Source organism: Homo sapiens, chromosome 7, assembly GCF_000001405.40.
Source record: "Homo sapiens chromosome 7, GRCh38.p14 Primary Assembly".
Lineage (NCBI taxonomy): Eukaryota > Metazoa > Chordata > Mammalia > Primates > Hominidae > Homo > Homo sapiens.
In genome coordinates, this window is record NC_000007.14 from 74,599,572 (window position 1) to 74,615,258 (window position 15,687).

The 15,687-nt window shown below is 52.2% G+C and overlaps 1 protein-coding gene across 20 annotated transcripts in view, besides 1 other annotated feature; it reads left to right on the forward strand.

The window, feature by feature from the left end:
* The window catches only part of GTF2IRD1 (GTF2I repeat domain containing 1), a 148,700-nt gene extending 145,666 nt beyond the window's left edge, over positions 1-3,034 (forward strand). For 11 of the 20 annotated variants that reach the window (XM_047421058.1, NM_001199207.2, XM_047421064.1 and 8 more), the window contains 2 exons: positions 1,473-1,609; positions 2,794-3,034. In XM_047421058.1, coding sequence (XP_047277014.1) covers positions 1,473-1,609; positions 2,794-2,862 — 206 coding nt within the window. In that variant the 3' untranslated portion in view covers positions 2,863-3,034. Of the gene's footprint in view, positions 1-1,472; positions 2,724-2,793 lie in introns of those variants that run through there. The other 9 variants (XM_047421056.1, XM_047421057.1, XM_047421061.1 and 6 more) reach the window with 1 other exon arrangement.
* Positions 6,927-7,336: a silencer, noted in NCBI's record as "silent region_18282". NCBI's record gives its function as "represses an Ori minimal core promoter by ATAC-STARR-seq in GM12878 lymphoblastoid cells {active_cell/tissue: GM12878}" and the evidence as "EXISTENCE:reporter gene assay evidence [ECO:0000049][PMID:35858748]".

The window sequence follows — 15,687 nt, forward strand, 5'->3', positions numbered from 1 at the left end:
CTTCTGATTCTAAACCAGAGTTTCTTTCACTGGGGCACTGCCTGTCTACTTGGACCTGTGAACTCTCCACTCAGGACCACCATACATTAGTGATAACCATAGCAATACAATTTTTTTGTATTTTGGTAGAGACAGGGTTTCAACCTTCACCATGTTGCCCAGGCTGGTCTCGAACTCCTGACCTCAGTCAATCCACCCACCTTGGTCTCCCAAAGTGCTGGGATTACCAGTGTGAGCCACTGCGCCTGGCCCCAGGTCCTCTTTATACCCTCCCTGGACAACCTAGCCTGCAGTTCCAGCCTCCCCAGAACTCCCAGAGCCTCTCCTGGGGTCCCACATCCCCTCACAGCCTTAAAGAGCCCAGGAAAGAATGTGGCCTCCGGAGCCACGCAGACTTGGCCTTGGAGAAAGTCCTTTAACAGCCCTGCCCCTTCGGGTGCTCGTGAGTGAAATGTGAATAGGATCTTGGAGGGTTGCTGGGAGGATCCCAGCAGACAATGTGCAAAGCATTTAGCACAGTGCCCAGCACCCAGAAAATACTCAGAAACTGAGAATGCGATTAATATTGTTGCCATGAGCCAGGCACGGTGGCTCATGCCTGTAATCTCAGCATTTAGGGAAGCTGAGGCAGGAGGATTGCTTGAGGTTGGGAATTGGAGACCAGCCTGGGCAACATAATGATGCAGAAATACAAAAAGTTAGCCAGGCATGGTGGCGCGCACGTATAGTCCCAGCTACTCGGGAACCTGAGGTGGGAGGATTGCTTGAGCCCAGGACTTGGAAGCTGCAGTGAGCTACGATTGCACCATGGCACTCCAGCCTGGGCAACAGAGTGAGACCCTAAAAAACAATATAGGCCAGGTTCGATGGCTCATGCCTATAATCCCAGCACTTTGGGAGGCCGAGGTGGATGGATCACTTGAGGTCAGGAGTTCAAGAGCTGCCTGCCCAACACGGTGAAACCCCATCTCTACTCAAAATACAAAAAAATTAGCTGGACGTGGTGGCAGACACCTATAACCCCAGCTACTTGGGAGGCTCAGGCACTAGAATCGCTTGAACCCAGAAGGCAAAGGTTGCAGTGAGCCAAGATCGCGCCACTGGACTCCAGGCTGGGTGACAGAGCGAGACTCCATCTCAAAAAACCAGAAAGAGAGAGGACCTAGGGCCTAAGGGGTGAGCTTGCTGGGGAGGAGGAGGGACACATGGGGATGAGGATACGGTGTTAGCAAAGGCAGGCAGGCCAGCAAGAGCAGGAGGCCGGGGAGAGTGGGCCCTCGGGCTTGCTTTGGGAAGGAGGCTGGACATGTGGGCTCTGGACAGGTGGGCCCTGACCCCCAGGGGATCAGGAGCCTGAAATCCTGAAAGGGGGACTCGAAACCTTAAGACAGAGCACTTTTCCAGGGAGCTCAGGAGGCTGAGACAGAAAAGCCTCAGCTTCCAGTGTCAACAGCCTTTTCCCCTCCTTCCAGCCAAAGACAGCAGCATTCCCAAGCGCAAGAGAAAGCGGGTCTCGGAAGGAAATTCCGTCTCCTCTTCCTCCTCGTCTTCCTCTTCCTCGTCCTCTAACCCGGATTCAGTGGCATCGGCCAACCAGATCTCACTCGTGGTAAAGTTGCACCGATTTGGACTCCGGCACTCATCTCTGTGGCCCTCACCCCTCTGTCTGGCAGGGCCGTCTACTCTGGGATGTGGGCCCAGGGGACGGGGAGGCACTGGGCTTTGAGTGGGGACCTTCCGGCCTCGGGGGTTATAGATGCATCCACCTGTCTCACCCAAGAGGTAGCCCATCCTTCTCGTGGGGTACTCACAGGCACTCAGGCAGGAATTCACATCCTCGCTGGGCAGATGGGCCGGCTGAGGTCCACCTGCCCACACCCTTCAGCCGCACCAGAGCTGGAGACATGAAAAGACATGGCTGGCGGGTGCAGTGGCTCACGCCTGTAATCCCAGCACTTTGGCAGGTCAAGTCGGGTGGATCACCTGAGGTCAGGAGTTTGAGACCAGGCTGACCAACACGGGGAAACCCCATCTCTACTAAAAATACAAAATTAGCCGGGCAAAGTGGGGCATAGTGGCTCATGCCTGTAATCCCAGCTACTTGGAAGGCTGAGATAGGAGAATCGCTTGAACCTGGGAGGCAGAGGTTGCAATGAGCCGAGGTCGCGCCATTGCACTGCAGCCTGGGCAACAAGAGTGAAACACTGTCTCAGAAAAAAAAATTAGCCAGGCATGGTGGCACGTGCCTGTGGTCGCAGCTACTTGGGAGGCTGGGGCAGGAGGATCATTTGAGCCCAAGGGGATTGAGGCTGCAGTGAGCCAAGATCGTCCCATTGCACTCCAGCCTGGGCAAGAGAACGAGACTCCATCTCAAAAATAAATAAATAGGCTGGGTGTGGTGGCTCACGCCTGTAATCCTAGCACTTTGGGAGGCCGAGGCAGGCGGATCACTTGAGGCTCAGGAGTTCAAGACCAGCCTGGCCAACATGGCAAAACCCCGTCTCTACTAAAAATAGAAAAATTAGCCGGGCATGGTGGCGGGCGCCTATAATCCCAGCTACTCGGGAGGCTGAGGCAGGAGACTCGCTTGAACCCGCGGGGCCAAGGTTGCAGTGAGCCGAGATTGCATCACTGCACTCCAGCCTGGGCAGAAGAGTGAAACTCCATCTCAAAAAAATAAAAAATATAAATAAATAGCCTCTGAGAAAGCTCTTCCAAAAGCAGAACTAAGCATTTTGGGTTTGTTCCGCATCACCTGGAGTCCTAATCCAGTCCCTTTGTCCCTCTCTCTAGCAATGGCCAATGTACATGGTGGACTATGCCGGCCTGAACGTGCAGCTCCCGGGACCTCTTAATTACTAGACCTCAGTACTGAATCAGGACCTCACTCAGAAAGACTAAAGGAAATGTAATTTATGTACAAAATGTATATTCGGATATGTATCGATGCCTTTTAGTTTTTCCAATGATTTTTACACTATATTCCTGCCACCAAGGCCTTTTTAAATAAGTAAAAAAAGAAAAAAAAAAAAAAGAGTGTTGCCTTTACTTTTACGGTCACTGTTTCATGTTCTCTTTTGGATCGTGGCCGCAGCTGTCACTGGGGACAGGGTCAGGAAACGCAGCTCAGGTGGCCTGCCAAGGCCCTCCTTCTTCATCACAGCAGAGGTAGTGTCCAGGAAGACCCCAGAGCTCTCTGTGCTCCTGGGAGCACGTGACCTCAAGAAGAAAAGCCACGGAAGGAAAATGTGCCACGGGGCCGGGCGTGGTGGCTCATGCCTGGAATCCCAGCACTTTGGGATGTCGAGGTGGGTGGATTGCTTGAGGTCAGGAGTTCGACCTCATTGGCCTGTAATACCGATGCTTTGGGAGGCCAAGGTGGGAGGATTGCTTGAGACCAGGAGTTTGAGATGAGCCTAGGCAACATAGTAGAACCCTTTCTCTAGAAAATGTTAAATGTGGCTTACACCTGTAATCCCAGCACTCTGGGAGGCTGAGGCGGGTGAATCACCTGAGGTCAGGAGTTTGAGACTAGCCTGGGCAACATAAGGAGACCCCGTCTGTACGAAAATGCAAAAATGAGGCCGGGCATGATGGCTCATGCCTGTAATCCCAGCACTTTGGGAGGCCGAGGCGGGTGGATCACCTGAGGTCAGGAGTTCGAGACCAGCCTGGCCAACATGGTGAAACCCCATCTCTACTAAAAATGCAAAAATTAGCCAGGTGTGGTGGCGGGAACCTGTAATCCCAGCTACTCAGGAGGCTGAGGTAGGAGAATCACTTGAACCTGGGAGGCAGAGGTTGCAGTGAGCTGAGACCACGCCATTGCACTGCAGCTGGGGCAAGAAGAACAAAAGTCCGTCTCAAAAAAACAAAACAAAAGCACAAAAATTAGCCAGGCGTGGTGGTGCACACACCTGGAGTCCAGCTACTCAGGAGGCTGAGGCAGGAGGAGGATTGCTTGAGTAAAGATGGTTGAGGCTGTAGTGAGTCATGATTACACCACTGCACTCCAGCCTGGGCGACAAAGCAAGACCCTGTCTCAAAAAAAAAAAAAAGTGTTAAATATGGTAAATGTCAGAGAGGGAGGGGCCCATCCCAGTGAAGCACTGTGGCTGGATGGGAGGCTTCTTCAAAAAGGGGTTTGGAGACCAGGTGCGGTGGCTCACGCCTGTAATCCCAGCACATTGAGAGGCCAAGGTGTGCAGATCGCCTGAAGTCAGGAGTTCGAGACCAGCCCAGCCAACATGATGAAACCCTATCTCTACTAAAAATACAAAAAAATTAGCCAGGTGTGGTGGCGCGCAACTGTAATTCCAGCTACTTGGAAGGCAGAGGCAGGAGAATTGCTTGGACCCAGGAGGCAGAGGTTGCAGTGAGCCGAGACTGTACCATTGCACTCCAGCCTGGGCAACAAGAATGAAACTCCATCTCAAAAAAAAAGGGGGGTGGGGTGGGGGCAGGACAAGTTTTCTTTTTTCAGAGGCAAGTTCTTTCTGTGTCCCCAGGCTGGAATGCAGTGGCACGATCATATCTTCCTGCAGCCTCAAACTCCTGGGCTCAAGTAATCCTCCTGCCTCAGCCTCCAGAGTAGCTGGGACTACAGGTGTGAGCCACCACACCCAGCTAATTTTTTGATTTTTTTGTAGAGATGGGGTCTTGGGTTATGTTGCCCAGGCTGGCTGCAAATTCCTGGGCTCAAGCCATCCTCCTGCCCCAGCCTCCCAGAGTGCTGGGATTAGAGGCGTGAGCCACCATGCCCAGCCTGGGATGATTTTGGATAGAGCTCTGGATACCTGACAAGCAGAGTGATGGGGTCCCAGCTGTGTCTCAGAAAGACCACTTTAGGGGCAGGTGGGAAGTTGAAGGAAGGGACAAGACTGAAGGCAGAAAGACAAGTCACAAGAGCGTGGCAGGCGTCCAAGGCCTGGCACCCAGTCCCTGCTTATTGGGTGACACATATTTACTGAGCCCTGCCCTTCTGGCTGGGGAGGCCAAGCAGCTGAGTGTCCTAATTGGGGAGGCAGCTGCCAGGGAGTACAAAACAGAGTAGGGCTGGTGCGGTGGCTCAGGCCTGTAATCCCAGTGCTTTGGGAGGCCAAGGTGGGAGGATCGCTTGAGGCCAGGAGTTCAAGACCAGCCTAGACAACATAGTGGAACCCTTTCTCTAAAAAATGTTAATTAGCTGGGTATGGTGGTGTGTGCGTGGTCCCAGCTACTCTGGAGGCTGAGGCAGGAGGATTGTTTGAGACCAAGAGTTTGACACTGCAGTGAGCCGTGATTGCACCACTGCTCTTGAGCATGGGCAACAGAGCAAGACCCTGCCTCTGAAAAAACAAAGCGGGGGGGCCTCACCTAGTGCAGAAAGTAGGAAGAGTCCTTGAAGCTGAGGCTTGAAGAGCAAGTGAGGCTTTGGGGGGACAAAGAGAGGAGGGCTGAGGTAGGTGGGTGTTTAAGACGAGAGCGATGTGGGCAAAAACGGAGCTGGACAGGGACTGGGTACGTTCCAGGAATAAGAAGGTGTCACCAGAGCAGACACAGGGTGGCTGGAGGTGACATGTCAGGGCAGGTGTGGACTTAGTCAGGGTTCCCGAGGACGCTAAGCAGGTGTCTCCTACACATGGTGCCGGGCTGAAGTGGTGGGCAGAGGCAGACATCCAGCCTGGGTTACACCTGCCCAGCCATGCACTCTGGGACAGAGCTGCGTACTTTTTCTCACCGACCCACGTGGAAGGCCTCATAAGCCGGGCCAAGGCAATTTCCAGAAGGCAAATGAGACCCACAGCAGGAAGTACCTGGGGGAGAGCCAGGCCTAGGTCTGCATTTTGGAAGGGTGCCCCTGCCCGCTGAGAGATGTCGGAGAAGGAAGGGAGGAATACATCAGAAGACCACCTGGGAGGCTCCAACAGAAGATAGCAGTAGAGGCCAGGCGTAGTGGCTCATGCCTGTAATCCCAGCACTTTGGGAGGCTGAGGTGGGTGGATCACCTGAGGCCAGGAGTTCGAGACCAGCCTGGCCAACATGGTGAAACCCTGTCTCTACTAAAAATACAAAAATTAGCTGGGCATGGTGGTGGACACCTGTAATCCCAACTACTCTGGAGGCTGAGGCAGAAGAATCTCTTGAACCCAAGAGGCAGAGATTGGCAGTGAGCTGAGATCGCACCACTGCACTCCAGCCTGGGCAACAGAGCGAGACTCCGTCTCAAAAAAAGAGAGAGAGAGAGAGATGGCAGTGGTTTGGGCCAGGTGGAGAAAATAACTAGAGGGTCAGCCAGTCGGGTGGACGAGGGGTTCTGGAGAGTCAGGGGTCAGGGTGGTCCCAGGATCTGGCTCTAACCGTCCACCCAGGGCCCAGAATGAGGCCTGTGGCTTGGAGGGACTGAGTTCTGAATCAGCTGAGGAAATGGTCAAAACTTTAGTCCAGGGCTTCTGCCAGTCCTCAGGGTCAGTCCCATCCATGCCCAGAGCTGGGAGGAAGGCCCCATCCCAGCCTTCCAGACCACACTTCCTCCTGGAAAGACGCTAGAAACCACGTGCCTGGCACAGCCACCCCCTCTCCGCTGGTGCAAACCCCCCACCCAGTCAGCTGCCAGCCTCACCTTCCTCCCTCCCACCTCCTAGTGGCTCCCAGTGCCACCAGGCGCCTCCACTCCACCCTCAGCCCCTGCCCTGGGCCGGGCCCACTTTTTCCACTCCAGGATGGGGGCAGGAGTGACCTCCTCAACTGGCCACCACCTCCAAGCAGAAACTGCCTATGAAGTCAAGATGATCTGAAGAGTCCTTGCAGCTGCCACCTTGCCTTCAACCCTCACGTCCTGTAACCCATCCCCCACCCCCGATCCTGTGACTCTGGATTTAAAATCTGTTTTGCTTTCCTTGCACCCAGTGCAAGCATCTAGGTGCGGCGTTCCAGGCGCCTCGCAGGGGGTCGGGTCCCCAGCCTTCTGTCCCACCGTTCCGTCCCCCGGGCCCGGCCCACCTGGCGCCCCCTCCCGCCCGCCACCGCCCGCTGGCGCCTGTCGGTCGTCTAGACCCGCCGCCCCCGCTCCACCGCTCAGATCCGCGGCCAGAGCCGGAAGTGGCTCCTGCCCCGGCCGGGAGCGGCGGGGCTGAGACTGTGCCCGCGGGCACTGCCATCCCGTGCATGGAGAGGGCGCAGAGCCCGGGGGTAGGGCGGGCCGGGGAACCCGATCCTCCTTCATCCGCGCAAAGGCCCGCGAAGCTCCCAATCTGTTCTCTTTCAGGCTCACTGTGCAGATGGCGTGCAATTAAGTGGGTCGGTGCAGCAAACCCTCGTATCCTCCCGCTTCCCTAAAAGCAGAGGATTGAGCCGCTGCACTCCAGCCTGGGCAACACAGCGAGACCCTATGTCTTAAAGAAAGGGCAGAAGTGGGGACCCCTCTCCCACCCCCTTCCCCTGCTCCAAGCCAAAGCGTTTGAAGCAAGAGGTTGCCTCCTGTGAGTTTCCCCCAGTCCCTGGAGGCCTGGGCTTTGGGAGGTGTGTCCAGGCAGAGGACAGAGGTCTTGTGCAAAGGGCCGCTTTTCCCTTCGCCCACCCTGCGCCCGCCCAGCCCCTTATCCGATGGGAAAGCCTTACTGACTCTTTTCCTCGCAGAAGCGCCCAGATGCTGTTTATGCAACCTCTCCAGAATCTCAGTGTACTGTACTTTTTAAAAAGTGATTTGATTCAAAGCACTCATTCTTTAATTAAACTTCATTTAGCTGCCATCTGTCTCGGTTCGAAATGGCTTCGTGTTTTGCAACTCTAAATGAGAATTGTTATTGGATTTGTAAACACATCCCCAAAAAAATCACAAAACACTTTCAAAAGTAATAAATGAAGGACGGTTAGGAGCTGCATCTTAAACGTTCTAATTGCCGGGGAATGTATTCTGGTGGGTACACAGTCATTTTATATACAAATCATTGTACAAAAATCTGGTATCAATGAAAAGATCAAGATTATAGAAAATGCTGGAATTATATCTGACTGAAAACAGTAATAAAGCAATAATTGGCGCAGGGACGGGCCACAAAACGAGACGGGGCACCTGCTCCCCTCGGGCCACCCTCCCGCACCGCCCAGGTGCCTGGCTTGGTGCACTCAGGGGAGGGTTGGTCCTGAGCTCTCCTGGCTGGTGCTTCCAACGGCCCTGCGAGGTACCTCTTTTTAAGGAACCAAAGCGTTATTTATCTTCATTATTAATTATTACTTTTTTTTTTTCTAAAAGACAGGGTCTCGGCCGGTCGAGATGGCTCACACCTGTAATCCCAGCACTTTGGGAGGCTGAGGCGGGCGGATCACGAGGTCAAGAGTTCAAGACCAGCCTGGCCAACATAGTGAAACCCCGTCTCTACTAAAAAATACAAAAATTAGCTGGGCGTGGTGACGGATGCCTGTAATCCCAGCTACTCGGGAGGCTGAGGCAGGAGAATCGCTTGAAACCAGAAGGTGGAGGTTGCAGTGAGTGGAGATCGCACCGCTGCACACGCCAGCCTGGGCAACAGAGCAAAACTCCATCTCAAAAAAAAAAAAAAGGCCGGGTGCGGTGGCTCACACCTGTAATCCCAGCACCTTGGGAGGCCGAGGTGGGTGGATCACAAGGTCAGGAGATCAAGACCATACTGGCTAGCATGGTAAAACCCCGTCTCTACTAAAAAACATACAAAAAATTAGCCGGGCACCTGTAGTCCCAGCTACTCGGGAGGCTGAGGCAGGAGAATGGTGTGAACCCAGGAGGCGGAGCTTGCAGTGAGCTGAGATCGTGCCACTGCACTCCAGCCTGGGTGAGAGAGCAATACTGCATCTCAAAAAAAAAAAAAAAAGAGACAAGGTCTCTTTGTGTGGCCCAGGCTGGAATGCAGTGGCTCGATCATAGCTCACTGAAGCCTGGAACTCCTGGGCTCAAGTGATCCCCCCGCCTCGCCTCCCAACTGGCTGGGACTTCAGGCACATGCCACCATGCCCAGCTAATTTTTCTTATTGTAAAGACAGAAGTTCACTATGTTGCCCAGGCTGGTCTTAAACTCCTGGCCTCAAGGGATCCTCTCACTTGGGACTCACAAAATGCTGGGATTACAGGTGTGAGCCATTGCACTTGGCCACTGCCCTGTAATTTTTAAATTTCATCATCTTCCTAAAACTCATGGCTGGGCATGATGGTGGGCACCTGTAGTACCAGCTACTAAGGAGACCAAGGTGGGAGGCTCACCTGAGCCCAGGGATTCAAGGCTGCAGTGAGCTATAATTGTGCCACTGTACTCCAGCCTGGGCGACAGAGCAAGACCCTATCTCAAGTAAATAAATATCATTTTATTAATATCAAGTATCATTCGTTCTTTTTTTTTTTTTTTTTTTTTTTTTTTTTGAGGTGGAGTCTATTCTGTCACCCAGGCTGGAGTGCAGTATCGGGATCTTGGCTCACTGCAACCTCCGTCTCCCAGGGTCAAGTGATTCTCCTGCGTCAGACCCCTAAGCAGCTGGGATAACAGGCTTGCGCCACCACGCCTGGCTAATTTTTGTATTTTTAGTAGAGACAGTGTTTCACCATGTTGGCCAGGCTGGTCTTGAACTCCTGACCTCAAGTGATCCACCCGTCTCAGCCATCCAAAGTGCTGGGATTACAGGCGTGAGCCACTGCACCCAGCCTACAATAACTTATTTTTTCTGTCATTATTTTCTGCTTCTCTGCCTGCTTTATGCTTTATGATGTCAAGGACTGTGTCCATTTTATCCACCGTTCTATCCTAGCGCCTACGTCCAGGACATACAAGGTACTCACTAAATGTGAGCGAGTTGGTGAAAGAATATAAACTACACCGGTCTCCTGGAAAATAAGAGGGCCCTTAAATCTTTTTTTTTTTTTTTTTTTTTGAGACAGGGTCTCACTCTGTCACCCAGCTGGAGTGCAGTGGCGCGCTCCTAGCTCACTGCAGCCTCCAATTCCCAGACTGAAGTGATCCTCCTTCCACAGCCTCCCAAAGCACTAGAATTACAGGCACATGCCACTGCACCCAGCTGCCTTAACTCTTTTTTTTTTTTTTTGAGACGGAGTTTCACTCTTGTTGCCCAGGCTGGAGTGCAATGGTGCAATCTTGGCTCACAGCAACCTCCACCTCCCAGGTTCAAGTGATTCTCCCGCCTCAGCCTCCCGAGTAGCTGGGATTACAGGTATGTGCCACCACGCCCGGCTAATTTTGTATTTTTTAGTAGAGATGGGGTTTCTCCATGTTGGTCAGGCTGGTCTCGAACTCCTGACCTCAGGTGATCTGCCTGCCTCAGCCTCCCAAAGTGCTGTGATTACAGGCAAGAGCCACCACGCCCGGCCTGCCTTAACTCTTTAAATCCTCCTGCTCCAGTGATTCCAGTAACCTCCTTCCCCCAACCTCAGCCCCAGAATCCATCTGTAGGGGAACTATGACTTGTGCCTCCATCAGTAGAATTTGCTTTCTCTATTTCTGGTCATAAATTGGAACTCCATAGAAATCCTATATTTATTTATTTATTTATTTATTTATTTATTTATTTTTTGAGACGGTGTCTTGCTCTATCACCCAGGCTGGAGTACAGTGGCACAATCTCAGCTCACTGCAACCTCCACCTCCCAGGTTCAAGCGATTCTCCTGCCTCAGCCTCCCGAGTAGCTGGGATTACAGGCACCCGCCACCACGCCCGGCTAATTTTTGTATTTTTAGTAGAGACAGTGTTTCACCATGTTGGCCAGGCTGGTCTTGAACTCCTGACCTCAAGGGATCCGCCCACCTCAGCCTCCCAAAGTGCTGGGATTACAGGCATGAGCCACCATGCCCGGCCCATTACGCAAGAACTTTTATGTGCTCTGTTAATCCTCACAGCCCTGCAAAGTAAATATTATTTCTTCATTTCACAAATGAAGAATCTGAGGTTCAGAAAGATGAAGGGCTGAGTCCAGGGTTACACAACTAGAAAAGATGAAGCACCAGGCTTGGCTTCAGAGGAGACCGCCAGACTGACTCAGGCGGCTGAGCACTGCCCCAGGCGAACCCCGCAACTTGGGGCTGGACAGAGCTTCTCTTTCGGTTTCCCTAATGTGTTTGAAAGAGAGTAACAGAGGTACATTTGAAAAGAAAAACAGAGGGCCGGGCGCGGTGGCTCACGCCTGTAATCCCAGCACTTTGAGAGGCCAAGGCTGGCAGATCATGAGGTCAGGAGATTGAGACCATCCTGGCTAACATGGTGAAACCCCGTCTCTACTAAAAATACAAAAAATTAGCCGGGCGTGGTGGCAGGCGCCTGTAGTCCCAGCTACTCGGGAGGCTGAGGCAGGAGAATGGTGGGAACCCGGGAGGCGGAGCTTGCAGTGAGCTGAGATCGTGCCACTGCACTCCAGCCTGGGCGACAGAGCAAGATTCCGTCTCAAAAAAAAAAAAAAAGAAGAAGAAAAGAAGAACAGAAATGGGTCCCGACGAGTCAGGTTTGCTCAGACCAGACCTCCCCTGCACAGGAAAGGGACATCAGGAAAGATCTCAGCTGCAAAGACCAGAGAAATACGCGCACACGCACACACACTCACACACACACATTGTGTACACACACATACACACAGGCACACACACTTTTTAATTTTTTTTTTTTAGTAGAGACAGGGTCTCACTATGTTGCAGGCTGGTCTCAAACTCCTTGACTTAAGCGATCCTCTCGCCTCAGCCTCCCAAAATGCTGGGATTACAGGCATGAACCTCTGTGCTCAGCCTGCTTTTAAAAAACAAAACAGGCCGGGTGCGGTGGCTCACGCCTGTAATCCCAGCACTTCGGGAGACCAAGGCGGGTGGATCACGAGGTCAGGAGATCGAGACCATCCTGGCTAACAGGGTGAAACCCCCGTCTCTACTAAAAATACAAAAAATAAGCTGGGTGTGGTGGCGGGCACCTGTAGTCCCAGCTACTCGGGAGGCTGAGGCAGGAGAATGGCGTGAACCCAGGAGGCAGAGCTTGCAGCGAGCCGAGATCGCGCCACTGCACTCCAGCCTGGGTGACAGAGCAAGACTCCATTTCAAAAAAATAAAATAAAATAAAAATAAATAAATAAATAAATAAACAAAACAAAACTGTTTTTGTGGGGATTTGTTTGTTCATATGTTTGTTGTTTTGAGACAGAGGTCTCGCCTTGTTGCCTAGGCTGGAGTGCAGTAGTGCAATCTCCACTCACTGCAACCTCCGCCTCCTGGGTTCAAGGGATTCTCCTGTCTCAGCCTCCCGAGTAGCTGAAACTACAGGCACCCACCACCCCACCTGGCTAATTTTTCTATTTTTAGTAGAGAGAGCGTTTAATCATGTTAGCCAGGCTGGTCTCGAACTCCTGACCTCAAGTGATCTGCCTGCCTCAGCCTCTCAAAGTGTTGGGATTACAGGCGGGAACCACTGCACCTGGCAAAAAAGAACCGTTAATTAGGGCTGGGTGCCGTGGCTCCCACTTGTAATCTCAGCACTTCAGGAGCCCAAGGTGGGAAGGAGGATTCCTTGAGGCCAGCAGTTCAAGAGCAGTCTGGGCAATGTAGCCAAATCCCATCTCTACAAAAAATAAATGAGCCAGGCGTGGTGGTGTGTGCCTGTAATCCCAGCTACTCGGGAGGCTGAAGCAGGAGGATCACTTGAGCCTGGGAGGTCGAGGCCGCAGTAAGCCATGATCACATCATTGCATTCCAGTCTGGATGACAGAGCAAGACTTTGTCTCAAAAACACATACCAAAAAAAAAAAAAAACCTGTCAATTAGAGGTGTTGCCACAATCCCAATAATAGCACAGTGCTTGACTCACAGATATTAAGAAGTTGGCACTTGAAAAATAAAACGAAGCAGTAAGAAGACATTCTCCTCCCCAGCTCTGACCTGCCCGTTCCTGCTTAAGCACAGCCATTCAAGCCTCCACTGCCTCCAGGAGGAAACCCACAGGCGTGAGTCTGGCATCGGAGACCTGGCCCCAATAGCTCACTTCTTCCCTGTCCCCCAGGGAGCCTTGGGTTCCAGCCAAACCAGGCCACCTCCCCCACTCACCAGTCTCAGATCATTCTAGAGCCTCTCACACCTCCAGGCCTTTTGCCTGGCTGGTTCTTGCCTTTCCTTTGCCTGGCCACGATCCAGCTGAAATGTCTTCTGTCCCTTGCAGCCTCCCCCAGCGGCCCAGGCCCAGCAGGCACTCTCAGAGCATGTCACACAATGTGTCATTGTCCCTGCAGAAATGGTTTATTGAACACACAGCTTGAAACACAAGCTCATGATACCGTCTAAATACCTCCCGAGCAAAAAGAATGTTCTTTTCTTTTTTTCTTTTCTTTTTTTATTCTTCCTTTTTTTGTGTGTGTGTGTGACAGGGTCTCACTCAGTTGCCCAGACTGGAGTGCAGTGGGGCCATCATAGCTCATTGCAGCCTCAACCTCCTGGGCTCAAGCCATCCTCCCACCTCAGCCTTCCAAGTAGCTGGGACTACAGACACACATCACTGTGCCCAGATTTTTTTTTTTAATGGAGTTTCACTCTTGTTGTCCAGGCTGGAGTGCAATGGCACGATCTCAGTTCACTGCAACCTCCGCCTCCCAGGTTCAAGTGATTCTCCTGCCTCAGCCTCCTGAGTAGCTGGGATTACAGGCACCCGCCACCACACCTGGCTAATTTTTGCATTTTTAGTAGAGACGGGGTTTCACCATGTTGGCCAGGCTGGTCTTGAACTCCTGACCTCAGGTGATCCTCCTGCCTCAGCCTCCCAAAGTGCTGGGATTACAGGCGTGAGCCACCGCACCCAGCCTTTTTTTTTTTTTTTTTTTTTAAGACAGAGTCTCACTCTCACTCTGTCACCCAGGCTGGAGTGCAGTGGCATAATCTTGGTTTACTGTGACCTCCACCTCCCAGGTTCAAGCGATTCTCCTGCCTCAGCCTCCCAAGTAGCTGGGATTACAGACACCTATCACCAGGCCCACCTAATTCTTGCATTTTTAGTAGAGACAGGATTTCACCATGTTGGCCAGGCTGGTCTCAAACTCCTGACCTCAAGTGATCTGCCTGCCTCAGCTTCCCAAAGTGCTGGAATTACAGGCATGAGCCACCACGCCTGGCCACAGCTAATTTTTTTTAATGTTTTGTAGACAGGAGTCTCACTATGTTCCCCAGTCTGGTCTCTAACTCCTGGCCTCAAGGGATCCTCCTGCCTTGGCCTCCCAAAGTGCTAGGATTCCAGGTGTGAGCCACCACCCCTGGCCCAGAATGCTCTTTTCTTCTTCATAGCCTTCAGGCTTCATGCTGAGAACAGAGTCTCACTCTGTCACCCAGGCTGGAGTGCAGTGGTGCGATCTTGGCACCCGCCTCCTGGGTTCAAGCAATTCTCCTGCCTCAGCCTCCCAAGTAGCTGGAACTACAGGCATGCACCACCATGCCTGGCTAATTTTTGTATTTTTATTTTATTTTATTTTATTTATTTATTTTTGGATATGGAGTCTTGCTCTGTCACCCAGGCTAGAGGACAGTGGTGCCATCTTGGCTCACTGCAACCTCCCCCTCCCGGGTTCAAGCGATTCTCCTGCTTCAGCCTCTCAAGTTGCTGGGATTACAAGTGCCTGCCACCTCGCCTGGCTAATTTTTGTGTTTTTAGTAGAGACGGGGTTTCACCATGTTGGCCAGGCTAGTCTCAAACTCCTGACCTCATGATCCACCTGCCTCAACCTCCCAAAGTGCTGGGATTACAGGCATGAGCCACCTCATCCGGCCGACCCCATCTCTAACATAAAAATTTTCTTAAACTGGTGGGGCCTTTGGGAGGAGATAAGGTGATGAGGGTGAAGCCTTCATGAATGGGATTAGTGCCCTTATAAAAGGGACCTGTTTAAGCTTGTTTGCCCATTCCACCATATGAGGACATGTGAGAAGGGACCATCTATGAGAAACGGTTCCCTTACCAGACACCAAATCTGCCAGCACTTTGACCTTGGACTTCCCAGCTTCCAGAACTGTCAGAAACCTGCCAGGCGCAATGGCTCACGTCTGTAATCCCAGCACTTAGGGAGGCCAAGGCGGGCAGATCACTTGAGGTCAGGAGTTCAAGACCAGCCTGGCCAACAGGGTGAAACCCTGTCTCTACTAAAATACAACAAAATTAGCTGGGTGTGGTGGCACACACCTGTAGTGCCAGCTACTCGAGAGGCTGAGGCAGGAGAATCGCTTGCACCTGGGAGGCAGAGATTGCAGTGAGCCAAGACTGAGCCACTGAACTCCAGCCTGGGCGACAAGGCGAGACTCTGTCTCAAAAAAAAAAAAAAAGAACTGTAAGAAGAAAACGCTTGTTGTTTATAAGTCACCCCCCAGTGTATGGTATTTTTGTTGTAACAACCCATATGGACTAAGATACTTGGGTTGGCTGTCAGGGCCAGGAAGTAAAAGTGACCATGTTGTCTTCCCAGGAGGCCATAAGCCCATTGCTAAGGGAAATAAGCCATCAAGAACAATTCAATGGCCGGGCACAGTGGCTCACGCCTGTAATCCCAACACTTTGGGAAGCCGAGGCGGGTGGATCACCTGAGGTCAGGAGTTCGAGACCAGCCTGGCCAACACAGTGAAATACCGTCTCTACTAAAAATACAAAAAAAAAAAAAAAAAAATTAGCCGGGCATGGTGGCAGGCAACTGTAATCCCAGCTACTTGGGAAGGTGAGACAGGAAAA